The 14,339-nt window shown below is 49.9% G+C and overlaps 1 protein-coding gene and 1 pseudogene across 14 annotated transcripts in view, besides 9 other annotated features; both read right to left on the reverse strand.

The window, feature by feature from the left end:
- FGFR1 (fibroblast growth factor receptor 1) overlaps nt 1-14,339 on the reverse strand; it is a 57,493-nt gene that overhangs the window by 12,929 nt on the left and 30,225 nt on the right. For 6 of the 14 annotated variants that reach the window (NM_001354367.2, NM_015850.4, NM_001354369.2 and 3 more), the window contains 5 exons: nt 5,611-5,877; nt 4,281-4,364; nt 3,850-4,022; nt 2,051-2,174; nt 438-628 (listed from right to left, as the gene is read on the reverse strand). In NM_001354367.2, the coding sequence (NP_001341296.1) occupies nt 438-628; nt 2,051-2,174; nt 3,850-4,022; nt 4,281-4,364; nt 5,611-5,877 (839 nt within the window). Of the gene's footprint in view, nt 1-437; nt 629-2,050; nt 2,175-3,849; nt 4,023-4,274; nt 4,365-5,610; nt 5,878-14,339 lie in introns of all 14 variants that reach the window. The other 8 variants (NM_001174063.2, NM_023110.3, NM_001174064.2 and 5 more) reach the window with 3 other exon arrangements.
- Nucleotides 1,362-2,053: an enhancer, noted in NCBI's record as "OCT4-H3K4me1 hESC enhancer chr8:38282951-38283642 (GRCh37/hg19 assembly coordinates)". NCBI's record gives its function as "activates a minimal SCP1, AML or CMV promoter by ChIP-STARR-seq in primed H9 embryonic stem cells {active_cell/tissue: H9 hESC(primed)}" and the evidence as "EXISTENCE:reporter gene assay evidence [ECO:0000049][PMID:30033119]".
- Nucleotides 3,600-4,597: an enhancer, noted in NCBI's record as "OCT4-H3K27ac-H3K4me1 hESC enhancer chr8:38285189-38286186 (GRCh37/hg19 assembly coordinates)". NCBI's record gives its function as "activates a minimal SCP1, AML or CMV promoter by ChIP-STARR-seq in primed H9 embryonic stem cells {active_cell/tissue: H9 hESC(primed)}" and the evidence as "EXISTENCE:reporter gene assay evidence [ECO:0000049][PMID:30033119]".
- Nucleotides 5,594-6,591: an enhancer, noted in NCBI's record as "H3K27ac-H3K4me1 hESC enhancer chr8:38287183-38288180 (GRCh37/hg19 assembly coordinates)". NCBI's record gives its function as "activates a minimal SCP1, AML or CMV promoter by ChIP-STARR-seq in naive H9 embryonic stem cells {active_cell/tissue: H9 hESC(naive)}" and the evidence as "EXISTENCE:reporter gene assay evidence [ECO:0000049][PMID:30033119]".
- Nucleotides 7,695-8,372: an enhancer, noted in NCBI's record as "OCT4-H3K27ac-H3K4me1 hESC enhancer chr8:38289284-38289961 (GRCh37/hg19 assembly coordinates)". NCBI's record gives its function as "activates a minimal SCP1, AML or CMV promoter by ChIP-STARR-seq in primed H9 embryonic stem cells {active_cell/tissue: H9 hESC(primed)}" and the evidence as "EXISTENCE:reporter gene assay evidence [ECO:0000049][PMID:30033119]".
- Nucleotides 8,373-9,049: an enhancer, noted in NCBI's record as "OCT4-H3K27ac-H3K4me1 hESC enhancer chr8:38289962-38290638 (GRCh37/hg19 assembly coordinates)". NCBI's record gives its function as "activates a minimal SCP1, AML or CMV promoter by ChIP-STARR-seq in primed H9 embryonic stem cells {active_cell/tissue: H9 hESC(primed)}" and the evidence as "EXISTENCE:reporter gene assay evidence [ECO:0000049][PMID:30033119]".
- On the reverse strand, nt 10,277-10,780 carry RPS20P22 (ribosomal protein S20 pseudogene 22; annotated as a pseudogene).
- Nucleotides 10,544-11,051: an enhancer, noted in NCBI's record as "OCT4-H3K27ac hESC enhancer chr8:38292133-38292640 (GRCh37/hg19 assembly coordinates)". NCBI's record gives its function as "activates a minimal SCP1, AML or CMV promoter by ChIP-STARR-seq in primed H9 embryonic stem cells {active_cell/tissue: H9 hESC(primed)}" and the evidence as "EXISTENCE:reporter gene assay evidence [ECO:0000049][PMID:30033119]".
- Nucleotides 11,052-11,557: an enhancer, noted in NCBI's record as "OCT4-H3K27ac hESC enhancer chr8:38292641-38293146 (GRCh37/hg19 assembly coordinates)". NCBI's record gives its function as "activates a minimal SCP1, AML or CMV promoter by ChIP-STARR-seq in primed H9 embryonic stem cells {active_cell/tissue: H9 hESC(primed)}" and the evidence as "EXISTENCE:reporter gene assay evidence [ECO:0000049][PMID:30033119]".
- Nucleotides 11,558-12,064: an enhancer, noted in NCBI's record as "OCT4-H3K27ac hESC enhancer chr8:38293147-38293653 (GRCh37/hg19 assembly coordinates)". NCBI's record gives its function as "activates a minimal SCP1, AML or CMV promoter by ChIP-STARR-seq in primed H9 embryonic stem cells {active_cell/tissue: H9 hESC(primed)}" and the evidence as "EXISTENCE:reporter gene assay evidence [ECO:0000049][PMID:30033119]".
- Nucleotides 12,964-13,465: an enhancer, noted in NCBI's record as "OCT4 hESC enhancer chr8:38294553-38295054 (GRCh37/hg19 assembly coordinates)". NCBI's record gives its function as "activates a minimal SCP1, AML or CMV promoter by ChIP-STARR-seq in primed H9 embryonic stem cells {active_cell/tissue: H9 hESC(primed)}" and the evidence as "EXISTENCE:reporter gene assay evidence [ECO:0000049][PMID:30033119]".

Here is a 14,339-nt window from a genome sequence, read left to right on the forward strand (position 1 = left end):
TTCCAACTCTTCGTAAGAGATGCTCTTATCATGCACCCCATTTGCCAGAAAGATCGTACGTAACTCAGGACACAGGGCTAAGACTGGGAAACGCTTGGTGGAAAGGCTCTGGTTTCGGGCAATGAAAAGGCAGGGGTCCAAATGCCTTCCTTGTGTAGCTGACCCCAAAGCCCCAGTGACGTTGCTCTCAAAGCTTATTACAGACCAGCACCACCCATCCCTGCAGCCCTCTGTTCCCAGCTCACCTCCACTTTGTGACCTCTGTTACTAGTCCTGGGGGATGTGGCTAGATCCCTACTGAGATGGAGTGTGTGTGCCTGAAGCGTGAGGAATGATCCCATTCGGGGGCAACTGAGCCTGCCCACAGGAACTTGAGCCCCCGAGACAGTGGTCTCCTTCCCAGTAGACTGGCCCACGAAGACTGGTGCCATGATTACCTTCAAGATCTGGACATAAGGCAGGTTGTCTGGGCCAATCTTGCTCCCATTCACCTCGATGTGCTTTAGCCACTGGATGTGCGGCTGCGGGTCACTGTACACCTTACACATGAACTCCACGTTGCTACCCAGGGCCACTGTTTTGTTGGCGGGCAACCCTGCTTGCAGGATGGGCCGGTGAGGGGACCGCTCTGTGGAAGATGGGAGAGGAGGCACTTGTCATGGGGACCTTGCCATGGCTAAAGAGGGGTGGGCTCACCTGCGCCCCACTTGGCTTTCCCAGTGATGGGTTGTAAACCTCCCAGCACTTCTGCTGAGCCCAAGCCTCTCAAAACAGAGCTGGGGAAAGGGACACCCTCTCTTCAGGCCCTAAGCCATCAGGATCCTCCTCCCCAAGGCAGTCATCATATTTACAGTCACAGTAAGTCGCTCATGCTTTAATGGAGAACCTTCTAATTCAGTTGCACCCCCAGACCTCAGCACAACCTGCTCCTCCTTAAAAAACCAGAGTCACTTTGACTCCTGCTATTCAAAGTGTGGTCCACGAGCAGTGCTACCAGCATCCCCTAGGAGCTTGTTAGAAACGCGGAATCTCAGATCTTACCCCAACCTCTTGGATCAGAATCTCCTTTTTACCTTTTTTTTTTTTAAAGGCAGGGTCTCACTCTGTCACCCATGCTGGAGCACAAGGGTGTCATCATAGCTCACTGCAGCTTCGAATTCCTGGGCTCAAGTGATCTTCCCACCTCAGTAGCCTCAGTTAACTCAGCTGGTACTACAAGTACATGACACTGCACTAGGCTAATTTTTAAATTTTTTTATAGAGACAGGGTCTCACTGTGTTGCCCAGGCTGGTCTCACACTCCTGGCCTCAAGCAATCCTCCAGCCTTGGCCTCCTAAAGTGATGGGATCACAGGCGTGAGTAATCCCATCATGCCACCTGGAGCTCATAAGCCACTGCTCCTGGCCACAATCTCCTTCTTAGACCATATCATCATAATCAAGAAGAACACTGGCTGAGAGATTCTGTACCCAATGATCTCTAGGGAGTGAGTTTCAGAACTCCTAGAAGGAAAAGGTTGCGGTAATAGCTCCAAGAGGCTCAATGTTCTTCCCAGAGTCTCCTGTGATGCCCTGAAGTTGGCACAGGTGTGCAGTTCTGCATTAGCAAGGTGTCTGACCTCTCTGAGCCTATGCGCCTGTGCTCCTGTGCAGGGCTAGACTAATACTGCCCACCTTGCAGGTGTGCCATGAGCATTACAGGGCAGGTATTTAAGGAGCCTGGCATCTTGCTAGCATTAAGCGACAGCTCCTATTACGCTACATTTAACACCTCTCCAACAACGCCTCCTTCAGGACAGACTCTGAACAGCACCTTCAATTTCACAGTGACAACCAGCTTTGACCGTGTTACTGTCTGATCTTAACTCTATTTTACAGATAAGAAAAGTGAGGCTCAAAAGGGAGAAGTGACCTGCTCAAGGTGACAAAGCCAAGAAGTGCCAATCGCTATCCTGACTCTGCCCCTAAGAAACCTGGACACCCCGGCTGTGTTCTCCAAGCCTGGCTCTTCCCACTAAACTCATTCCTCCTGCTGCCTCTGCCCTCTTACCCACGACATCCAGCTGGTATGTGTGGTTGATGCTGCCGTACTCATTCTCCACAATGCAGGTGTAGTTGCCCTTGTCAGAGGGCACCACAGAGTCCATTATGATGCTCCAGGTGGCATAACGGACCTGAGGGGAAATGCCAAAGGGATACATTGAGGGTCCAGAGGAAAATGCAGGCCCCATGACAATGTCGGCACCCCGTGGCACCTGCCCTCCATATCAGAGCCTGGTGGCACAGGGCCCCAGGCTGCAGGGTTGGCTAGGACAAGGCGTGGATTGCCCCCCTACCAGCCCGTTCACACTCTGCAAGCTGGCAGATGGGGTGTAAAGACTCCAGAAGTCTCCACTGTGACGTTCAAGATCATTCGTGATCCGGACAGATGTGCCTTCTGCAAACACTCCCAAATACACCAAGAATGTTCCCAACTGTGCACCTCTCCTATTACACTAAGAATCCAGCCCCCACTGTCCTTGACAGCTCATTTCAAAAACCATCTCCTCCAGTCCAGTCTCTGGTCAGAACTGTGCTCACCCTTTCCTCTCTGCCTACCAAAGCACTGATCACAGTCTACTTTTTACGGTAGCTGCTCATGGACATTTGCCTCCTATCAGACTGCAAAATTTTTATGGGCAGGAACGCTATCTTGCAGCATTTAAAGCATGGTGTCTTGCATGTAGTGAGTGCATGGTGAATTAATTTAAAATATTTCTGGCTGGGTGCGGTGGCTCAAGCCTGTAATCCCAGCTCTTTGGGAGGCCCAGGCGGACAGATCACTTGAGGTCATGAGTTCAAGACCAGCCTGGCCAACATGGGGAAACCCCGTCTCTACTAAAAATACAAAAATTAGCTGGGAATGGTGGCTGCACATCCCAGGTACTCGGGAGGCTGAGGCAGGAGAATGGCATGAACCTGGGAGGTGGAGCTTGCAGTGAGCCAAGATGGCACCACTGCACTCCAGCCTGGGTGACAGAGTGAGACTCCGTCTAAAAAAAAAAAAAAAATGCTTACACCCTTTAAGTTAGTAATTTCACTTGTAACAATCTGTCCTAAGGAAGCACGCTTAAAAAAATGCTGACAGAGATTCACTGCAACATTATTTATTATGGTGAAAAACCAGAAAATACCTAATATCACAAAATAGTTCATTAAATTATAGGACTTTTTCTGTTGTTTTTTGGAGACAGAGTCTCACTCTGTCACCCAGGCTAGAGTGAAATGACGTGATCTCAGCTCACTGCAACCTCTGTCTCCTGGGTTCAAGCAATCTCCTGCTTCAGCCTCCCCAGTAGCTGGGATTACAGGAGCCTGCCACCACACATGGCTAATTTTTTGTATTTTTAGTACAGAGGAGGTTTCGCCATGTTGCCCAGGCTGGTCTCGAACTCCTGAGCTCAGGCAATCCGCCCACCTCGGCCTCCCAAAGTGATAGGATTTTAGGCGTGAGCCACCATGCCCAGCCAAATTATGGGATTTTAAAATAATGGAATCTTATACAGTCATGAAAAATTATGTTTCAAATATTCATGCTTGAAATATATCAGGAAAAGACTCATGTTAACAAATGACAAGGCAAGGAAATTACATACATGATGTGATCAACTATGTAAAAACCATATTACAGAAAGAAGACTGAAGAAATGTTTAAACTTTATTTGCATTTTTTTGTATTTAAAAATTTTAATGAATAACCTGTATAGGTGGAAAGTATTACTTAAAAAAATGAAAAGCATGTAATCAGGACTTCCTAACTCGGCCTCCCCTGTTCCCATTACTCTAACTTTCGCATGCACACACACGTACCTTGTAGCCTCCAATTCTGTGGTCAGGTTTGAATTCTTTGCCATTTTTCAACCAGCGCAGTGTGGGGTTTGGGGTCCCACTGGAAGGGCATTTGAACTTCACTGTCTTGGCAGCCGGCACTGCATGCAATTTCTTTTCCATCTTTTCTGGGGATGTCCAATATGGAGCTACGGCTGCCCGGGGAAAGCCAAGAGAGACAGGCAGGGTGGAGAGGAGCAGCTGGTCAGGCTCAGGAGCAGGGCCCAGGCCAGGACCTGGAGGTGTCTTGCCCATCTGCCCAACACCTGTGAGCAGTGCCTGGCACTTAGCAGAACAGGCACCGTGACCCCATGTGCCCTCCTCTTCCTCCCCTTTCAGCCTTCCCCTCCCCTCTTAAACCCAATGCCCAGACCCAAAGGGCAGTAAGATAGGAAACAGTGTCTCACGCATACGGTTTGGTTTGGTGTTATCTGTTTCTTTCTCCTCTGAAGAGGAGTCATCATCATCATCATCATCCTCCGAGGAGGGGAGAGCATCTATGGGAAGAAGAAGGGGCACTGAGGTTCCTCCTAGGGACCCCTAGATTTCACCAAGGCTAGTGCAGTTCCAGATGAACACGGACACCCTCCCCATGGGGATCCCAGTCCCACTGCTCCCTTAGTGATGATCTCTTGGTGGGATGGAAACTGTTTAAGAACAGTTCCTGTGCGTGTTTGCTTCCTTCCCCGAAGCACTGCCCCCACTGCCTGGAAGCCTTCACACTGGGTGGTTCCATCAGGGTCAGCTGTTCCTATTTAACTTAATTCCGTCCTACATTCAAAGGCGCTTTCTCAACTTGTGGTGCCACCTGGGTGTGCTGGAGCCAGGCAACCTGTATTCTTCTTTGGACGGCTGACTATAGGGAAACCCAGGCAGGTCTAGACACACTGTGGCTAGATGCTATTTCCAAAGGATGGGCTAAACACCCCACAGTCAGAATTTTTCTAGCATGTGTCTACTAAGGTTTGGGGGCTGCCCTCCTTAATCAGAGCAGATAGGGCACCCACCACCCCAGCAGCTGCCAACACCTCTCCCCAATAAGTATTTATTTCTTGTAAGAACACGCTTGATACACATGTGGTCACCCATCAGGGTTCATGCCAGATCTTTCTCCAGTCCTTCCTATCACCTTTGGGGATCTGCTGCCAAGTCCACACCCTGAGGTGCATAAATGGCATAAAGAAAATTTCAGCTCCACTTCCTCAACTCCTAGTTTTGTGAAAGTCACATTCTAAGAGTGGCAAGTTCCCAAGTTCACAGAGCTCCAGGGCTCCCTGGCTGCCCTCGCACAGCTCCCTTGCGGTGCACCTGGGTTCCTCTCCAGCAGAGCAGGGATACCACCACCTGTTCAGGGCCTCTAATCACTAAGCCGAGTACCAAGTCCAAATGGCAAGGGAGTGATGGAGTGGAAGCTGGCCGAGCACCACTTAGCCTCCTGGAGATCTGGGCAAGCTGTGGTGGAAAAAAATCACAGGGTCTTAACATCCCAAGAGCCCTGGCAATCACCTCCGAGGTGTGTCCTGGAAGCCCCAGATCTCCGGCCCTGGGGCCCACCCCACCTAGTCACCTCTCTGAGAGCCAAGCCACGCGGCAGGCAGGGAGCAATGTTAGTGGGCAGCAGTTTCTGAAGCAGAGTGGGGGCAGATCACGGAGGGGGAGGAGGTTCACCTTCCTCTGAAACTGGCAGAGAGGGCTGGAGGGGGTGGGTCTAGGGAGGGGCAAGGGCAGGGCTTGGCTACCAACCTGAAACATTGACGGAGAAGTAGGTGGTGTCACTGCCCGAGGGGCTGCTGGTTACGCAAGCATAGAGGCCGGAGTCTGCGGGCACGGAGTCCTGCACCTCCACCTCCTCCCCTGTGATGCGGGTGCGGTTGCTTTCCGCCAGCTGCACCCCGTCCCGCAGCCAGTTGATGCTCTGCACATCGTCCCGCAGCCGACAGCGAAGCTGCAGCAGGTCACCGGGGTGGACCAGGAAGGACTCCACTTCCACAGGGGCTCCCCAGGGCTGGGCTGCAGCCACCACGGGGCCGGGAAGGGAAGCCAAGGGGCGAGAGAGGAAGACAGGGAGAGGGGAGGAGGGGAGAGACAAAGGGAATTACGCTGGCCACACGGAGCCGCACCATCCTGGGCATCACTTACTGGAGGCTACTGAGCCAGGGCAGTGGGAATTGGAGCATGGGTCAGTGGGGAAAACAGCTGGCTGCCTGGGAACCCCCATCTCTTTTCCACCCCACTCCTCCAAAAGTCAAAGGAAGAAAGAGGCAAAGTTAGGAAGCAGCTGTAGCAGCATTAAGCGCATTTCATTTCCCCCATCCTAAGGGGAAAGGTCGGCCCTCCCCAGGACTTCTTTGTGTCCGGAGTTGCCCCCTCCCCAGATGCTCAGTTCTTTGCCAAGATTGCCACTTGCCAGAGGAACACCCCATTTCCTTTGGGATAGCTCAGCCTCACCCTTCCCTAGCAACAGCTGAACAAACCCCGCCCCTCAAAACCCCAGCAGCCCCTGCCCAAGTCGAGAGAAGGCAATTTGTCAACTGGGGGCTGACCAGGATGCGTGTGATTCGGAGAGGGTGGGGGTCTGGCCCTCGACGCGTCAGATGCACATGCTGGGGGGGCAGCCCAAGGAGAGGTCAGCTCAGGGAACCTCTCGCTAACAGGTGTCAGGGCAGGGGATTTGGAGCTGTTGACTATATTAGGACGGGAGGCCACAGCTGCCATAAAACCCACACTTGCTCTGGCAGCAGGAGCTGTCGCACACAAAGGTCCTTTCTCCTCAGCCCTCTGACTGGGCACACCCTCAGGCCCCCCACCATCCACTCTCCCTCCCCGTGCCCCATCCTTCTCTGTCCCTGGGTGGGAGCACTGGACCCACCGGGGTGTCTGCACCTCACAAGATCTGATACCACCAAGAGCACCTGTCCCTCCCCTGACCAGTGCCTCTTCCCGCACGCGTTCAAGAAGGCCCGTGGCCCGGACACACCTGAGTTCACCATCCTGGGCTGTTACCCATCTCCTGAGCACACCCCTCTGCACTCACGAGGGGAAATGAACTTTCTATTTCCTTTTAGGATGTTCAAATGTACTCCTGGCATCTTCCACCTCTCACCTACCACCCACATCCCGCCCACAGCCTTGGAGAGGACTTTTCTCACCATTTGTTCACCCTAAGAGACTCAGTGGAGCGACTGCCGCTCCCCGATGCATAAGGCTCTGAAACAGCATGTTCTCCCTCAGCCCCTGCTGTGGCTCACGGCTGCCCCAGTGGCCACAGGGCCCCTGATTTTTTTCTGTCCAGCTCTCACTACTCACTCTTCTGTCTCAGCCTAGCTGGTGACTTCTCCTCCAGGGCGGTGCTGACTCCCAGTCTGGGTTAGGTGCCCTCCCCCTCCTGGCACCTGTCACACTGAAGGGCAGTCCTCTTTCTGAACCTGAGTGCGGTGATGTGTCATCGGTACCTTTAAATCCCCAGCACCTACTACGATGCCTGGCGCCCAGGAGTTGCTCAAGAAATGCTTGCTCAATAAATACCACACGTGCAGTCACTCTGGCTCTTCACTGCCTTCCTTTCTACTCTCCCTTTTCTCTTTCACTCCCCCTTATTTGAAACACGGTCTTCCTCAAGTGCTCAACAGGCTTCCGCTAGAAACCTTAAAAATGAAAATGGGTGTCCCGCGCATCATGATCAGCAACTGACAGGGACTGACAGTGGTTTCTCTTGGGGGGGCCAAGGTTGCAGACCCAGTCCTGCATTGACCCATGGGCTTTATCTTAAATAAGAGTTGTCAGAAACAGGGGTACTGCTTTAAAAGGGCTCAGAAACCACTAGGCTTGCACACGTTTATTTTTGTGAGTCCGGTCAAGGGGAACACCACAAAGGTGAGTAGACCACACAACTGATTAAAAATAAGCTTTTGTGGGCCTTAGAAAAAGTTATTCTTTCCATTTTTAATGGTCTGTGGTTTTGCCAAACGAAGGTAAGGAGAAAAGCAGTTTAGACTCAACTCTTAAGGAACAGAGCAGACACTTCTATTGATCAAATCTCATTTCCCTCAAATGACCTCGGTGATTAAATATTTTGCAGCTTGTGATCTGTGCAACCCATTGGTCAAGAGTAAACTTGAATTCTTACCCTCTGGCATCACAAGGCCTATTGCAGCCGATCCCAGAGAAAAAAGCAGCTCCCAAAGACAAAAATGTAGCAAAGAGAACCCCCAGGCATTTATTTCCCCCCAAGAGAATGCAGCAAAGGAACACTGGCCCTGGTGAGACCCGCTCTAGCTGATACCAGCTTGGATCCGTAACTTCCTGCCCGTCCCAACCAGAACGTGCAAACAAAACTCCACTATACGTGATCTGTAAAAGCCTCAAGAACCAGCTCGCTTTCCTCCTGATGCAAGTTTAGACCCCGGTTCCCTTCCAAACGTGGCTCAGGTATGCTCTGTCCTATCCCTTTACCGGAACCATCTCGGGATAAATTTTTTTTTTTTTTTTTTTTGAGATGGAGTTTTGCTCTTTCGCCCAGGCTGGAGTGAAGTGCTGCGATCTCGGCTCACTGCAACCTCTGCCTCCCGGGTTCAAGTGATTCTCCTGCCTCAGCCTCCTGAGTTGCTGGGATTACAGGCATGCGCCACCATGCCCAGCTAATTTTTGTATTTTTAGTAGAGAAGGGGAATGTTGGTCAGGCTGGTCTAAAGCTCCTGACCTCGTGATCTGCCTGCCTCGGCCTCCCAAAGTGCTGGCATGAGCCATGGCGCCCAGCCGGGATAATCTTTTAAATGGCCTCCCTGGGGCTGCAGCTCAGACTCCTGCTTCCAAGCTGTCATGTGCTTGACATTATTTTCCTGATCAAAATCTACCCTGTGTACAGAGTAAAATCCACATCCCTGCCTCACCTTCAAGACTCCCTGCAATTGGCTTCCACTCTCTCCACCCAGCCCCATTCTCTCTACCAGGGGCTGTCCCTCCCCACCGCGCCCCCCCCCCTCCCCAGTTGGGATGCTTTCAGCACGGCTGCATCCTCCCTGGCATGGCAAAGCTTACTCCTTCCTGAGGACTGTCAGCGCCACTCCAGAGTCCTCCTACCCCAAACTACTCAAAGTCCACCATCCAAAACGTCCAGGGGCTGGGTGCAGTGGCTTATGCCTGCAATCCCAGCACTTGGGGAGGCTGAGGCAGGAGGCTCATTTGAGCCCAGGAGTTCAAGACCAGCCTAGGCAACATAGTGAGACCTCGTCTCTACAAAAAAATTTAAAAACTAGCCAGACTTGGTGGCACATGCCTGTAGTCCCAGCTACTCAGTGGGCTGAGACAGGATTGCTTGAGCCCAGGAGTTGGAGGCTACGGTGAGCTATGATCATGCCACTGGACGGGATGACAAAGACCCTTTTTTTTTTTTAAGACAGAGTTGCTTTGTTGCCCAGTCTGGAGTGCAGTGGCACAATCTTGGCTTGCTGCAACTTCTGCCTCCCAGGTTCAAGCCATTTTCCCACTTCAGCCTCTGGAGCAGCTGGGACTACAGGCATATGCCACAATGGCTGGCTTATTTTTGCATTTTAGTAGAGATGGGGTTTCACCATGTTAGCCAGGCTGTCCTTGAACTCCAGACCTTAAGTGATCTGCCCGCCTCGGTCCTTGCATCTTCAGTTAGCAAGTGCTGGGATTACAGGTGTGAGCCACCGCACCCAGCCAGACCCTGTCTTAAAACAAAACAAGAAACTAGGAAGCCTTGTTTATATCAATGTCTCATCTCTAATTTTCTGTAAAACAGTTACCGCCTGAATCACACAAATTCACACTCAATTACATTCCATTTTGTATTGTTTCTATTTTATTTAAACAGCAGACAGGTAATTCACATGCTGTAATATTCATCCATTTAATGGTTTTTGTATATTCAGAGTTGTGCAATCATTCACCACAATCTCACTTTAGAACATTTTTACCATCCCTCGCCCCTCAAAAAATGCCTGACCCATAGTAGTCACTCCTCCATCCCCTATCCCCAGTCTAAGCAACCACTAATCTGCTTTCTGTCTATGGATTTGGCTATTCTAGATATTTCATATCAATGGAATCATACAATATGTGATCTTTTGTGACTGGCTTCTTTCACTTAGCATGTGTTCAAACTTCCTCCATGTTATAGCATAGAATCAGCACTTTGTTCCTTTTAATGACCTAATAATATTCAATTGTGTAGACATACCACATTGCAGTCATCAATTGACAGATATTGGGTATAATGTTTCTTTCTTTTTTAAAAAATAAGTTAAAATTTCAAATGTTGCCCAGGCTGGTCTTGAACTCCTGGACTCAAGCAACCCACCCACCTTGACCTCCCAAAGTGTTGGGATTACAGGTGTGAGCCGCTGCGCTCAACCCATATTGCTGCTGCTTTTTTTTTTTTTTTTTATAACAACCGCTAATCAGTTTATTAAAATAGTTGACTTTGAGCATCTGCAATGGTGACTTCCACCTCAATTCCTGGCTCAACACTGATGGAAGTCAACTGCTTAACAATCTCAGAAGGACTGTGCAAGTCAGTGGGTAGCTTGTGGATTCTCATCTGGAAACGATCCCATGTCTCTGAACCTTCACCACAAGGAGATTTTCTTATAGTGATTCTCAAAGTCTTGGCAGGCATTCAAACTGGTCCCTTCACTTAGACATTCTTTTCCTTTCCTCCTCTGAATCAAGTCAGCACACACCTTCTCCAGGGATTTTACGCTGCGGATCATTAGAGGGATTCGAATTTGGTGAATGGTCACCTCCAGCTTCACAGGTGTTTTCTGGTATCTTTAAAAGCCTTGGTGCAGTGCGGCTTCCTGGCTGACTTGTTCGGAACAGCGATGAGTGAGGAGCAGGAATGGGCAGACTGCAACTCTGCACCACTTATGACTGCATCTTTCTCAAAGAGCTGTATTGCTTCTTTTTGTTTGTTTGTTTTTTTGAGACAGAATTTCACTCTTGTTGCCCAGGCTGGAGTGCAATGGCGTGATCTCGGATCACTGCAACCTTTGCCTCCCCAGTTCAAGCAATTCTCCTGCCTCAGCCTCCCGAGTAGCTGGGATTATTACAGGCATGTGCCACCACGCCTGGCTAATTTTGTATTTTTAGTAGAGATGGGGTTTCACCATGCTGGTCAGGCTGGTCTCGAACTCCTGACCTCAGATGAGCCACCCGCCTCAGCCTCCCAAAGTGCTGGGATTACAGACGTGAGCCACCGTGCCTGGCCTGTATTGCTTCTTAATTGTCCAAAATGTCCAAGTCTCTCCTAGGAATTAGCAAGCAACTCAGCGCAGACGTACCTGTTATAATTTTCCCACAGTGCCTAACAATGTCAAAAACCCAGAGACTACTCAGTAAGTCCAGAACTGAATCTAGCATCCAGCAAAAGCTAATTTTCAGAGGAACCAAAAATCAGACTAACCTCGGGTTCTAGCGGCTTTTTTCCACGGCTAGGAGTGCTCTTGGTGTGTGTCAGGTTCTCCGTTTACAAAGCAGGGATGATGCCACTTTCTTACAGGAGATGAAACCAACTGCTTGTATGCTTTCTGGGCCCTGCTTGACTGCGTCACAACCCCATCCAGTGGCCCTGAACTTGGGGAGTTCTATGTAAGGTGGCTGATTTGGGGGCATGACTGCTCACTAGCACCCTGCAACTACCATGTCAGTACTTTCCATTCTCTTTTGGTCTTTCCAGTGTCCCTCACTTATGTCCTCATTAGAAAGGTCCTTGCCTCTTCAGCTCCAGCTGCCCTGAGCTGGCCTTTCTCTGGTCAAGACCAACAGGCCAGGGTGTCGTTAGGTGTCCATTAGCAAGAGAAAAGCTACCTGACACTTTTATTGGACTGGCCAAGAAAGATGAAGAAAGCCACTTTATTGTTCAGTCACTTGAAACCAACATTCCAACTCCTGGAGAACCTGATTAATTGGAATCAGATACAAAGGTTGTCCTCAAAATGCACATGGGGATGCTGTGAGGGAAGCAGCACCAAAACACTTGCTTTGTGCATCTGTTTCCTGAGAGATGAGGTGGGGAATGGAGGCTGGAGGGCATCTGGTATCTGGATTCCCTGGTGACCTAGCCTGAGGCTGAAAAAGACTGGCTGTTCACTATTACAGGCTCTAGGTGCCATGTGTTAACAGTGCATTGCGGACTGGGTGCAGTGGCTCATGCCTGTAATCCCAGCCCTTTGGGAGGCCAAGGTGGGAGGACTGCTTGAGGCCAGGAGTTCAAAACCAGCCCTGGCAACATAGTGAGACCCTGTCTCTGCGAAAAATAAAAAAATTAGCCAGGCATAGTGGTGCATGCCTGTAGTCCCCAGGCACTTGGGAGGCAGAGGAGGGAGGATCCCTTGAGCCCAGGAACTCAAGGCTGCAGGAGCTATAATCTTGCCACTGCACTCCAGCCTGGGCAACAGAGACACTGTCTCAACAACAACAAAAAAAGTGCATTGTGAAAAAAAAGGGGCCTTATGCTTTGATGCCAATAGAATGGAGTCACCGTTCTCATCAACAGGAGTGGGAAGGTCAGGGTTAGGGTTTGCCTTGAACATCGTTCGAGAACTCAGGCTGCTGATCTCATTACCACGCAGGTTCCTGGGTCAAAGCAGCTGGCGGGTGGACCTTGGGAATTTGTGCAGGCTGCAACCAGTGCTCCTTTTAGTGCGAGTGACAAGGATTCATACATCAAACCTACCCTGCTTCTCTAAGGTGTCTCTATCCCCTAAGAAGGAATTAGGAGCCCACCGGAGACCCACACTTTTTGATAATCCTCAAGGAAGCAGCTAGAAAGGACAGAGGCAGGGGTGGGAGGGGATTTTCCCATGGTGCTTTCAAGTTCAGGAACACGATTAATGATAATGAGGCCCTACTGAATCCCTCTTCCCTTCCTACTTTCCCCCCAAATACTGCAGGCTTGTACTTCCAACAAGCCAACAGGTACAGCATTTTGCTTCTAGCAGGACTGGACAAAAATCTCCCACAGTCATTTAGAAGGCAGTTCTGGGATCTTGGCTCACTGCAACTTCCGCCTCCCAGGTTCAAGTGATTCTCGTGCCTCAGTCCCGAGTAGCTGGGACTATAGACAAGCGCCACCACGCCCGGCTAATTTTGTATTTTTAGTAGAGATGGAGTTTTGCCATGTTGGCCAGGCTGGTCTTGAACTCCTGAACTTAAGTGATCCACCCACCTCGGCCTCCCAATTCTTGATTCTAAATCTGTGTCTTCCACCAGTCATGGGAACCATCAGAGACCCAAACCCATACAAACCTTGCTATTCTTATGACAAGATGAGACCCCAGTTCTCAAAAATCCAAGGAGGAGTCAGGGAACTTTCATCAACATAGCTACCATTAGGTGACTCTGGGAGCCCTTGTCACTGTGCAAGGAGAAATGGGTGAAACAAAGGCCCAGAAGGCATATGTCTTGCCCTAACAGGGGTGCTCAGATTTGCACAGCACCTTAATATGGATTAAGATTTTATACTGCAACATGAGACAAATGGAGAATGTCAGGACCAAGTACAGGCAGGTCTAGCACAGGCTCTGACGTCATGAAACATAAAGAAAAGTATCAGCAGTGAGAGCAGAGGTTGGACAAAATGACGGGGAAGGGAAAAGAGAGGATTTAGATGAGAAGTGAAATGTCTGGGGGGAACAGAAGAGAATGAAGTGCTTACAGGCATGGCTGTACCCTGGTCTGAGGGGCAGTGGGAGATGAGGCCAGGCTGTACAGCTGGCCAGGAACAGAAGGTTCATGGGAGAAAACAGTAACAAATAATGATTTCAATTTGTAAGTTGAGGGATAGAACAGAGCCACCAAAGATATCCCAGGGAACACACCTCTCTGCAGAGACTATGAATGCAGGGCATTCATGCCACATGGACAAACACACCTGAAAATGTATTTTGAAATACCGCTTCACCAGCCCGGTCCCACAGCAGCCACTCTGGTCTGGAAGTTATCCATCCCCAAACCCCACAACTTAACAGGAACCCAGTGAAGAATAACAACACATTTGCATAGCACTTTGTAATTTACCATGTGCCTTCCCATATATTATCTAGGGATCCATAAACATCTGAGTAAACAGCAATACTACTACTGGCCAATATTTCCAGCACGCTCACTATATCCCATAGGCTGCACAAAGCTTTTAACACAGACCCTCCCATTTCATCCTCATAGGAAACTTATGAGGTTGATCCTACTATGATTTCTATCCTATGGATGCGGAGGCTTACTACATACCAGCATAGTTCTCAGCATGTGTTAACTTAGAATCTTGTGAAGTATTTAAGAGTTAGAATTATTATCTTCGGGCCCAGTGCAGTGGCTAATGCCTGTAATCCTAGCACTTTGGGAGGCCGAAGTGGGTGGATCACCTGAGATCAGGAGTTTGAGACCAGCCTGGCCAACATGGTGAAACCCTATTTCTACTAAAAATACAAAAAATTAGCCAGGCGTGGTGA

This window comes from Homo sapiens, chromosome 8, assembly GCF_000001405.40.
Source record: "Homo sapiens chromosome 8, GRCh38.p14 Primary Assembly".
Classification (NCBI taxonomy): domain Eukaryota; kingdom Metazoa; phylum Chordata; class Mammalia; order Primates; family Hominidae; genus Homo; species Homo sapiens.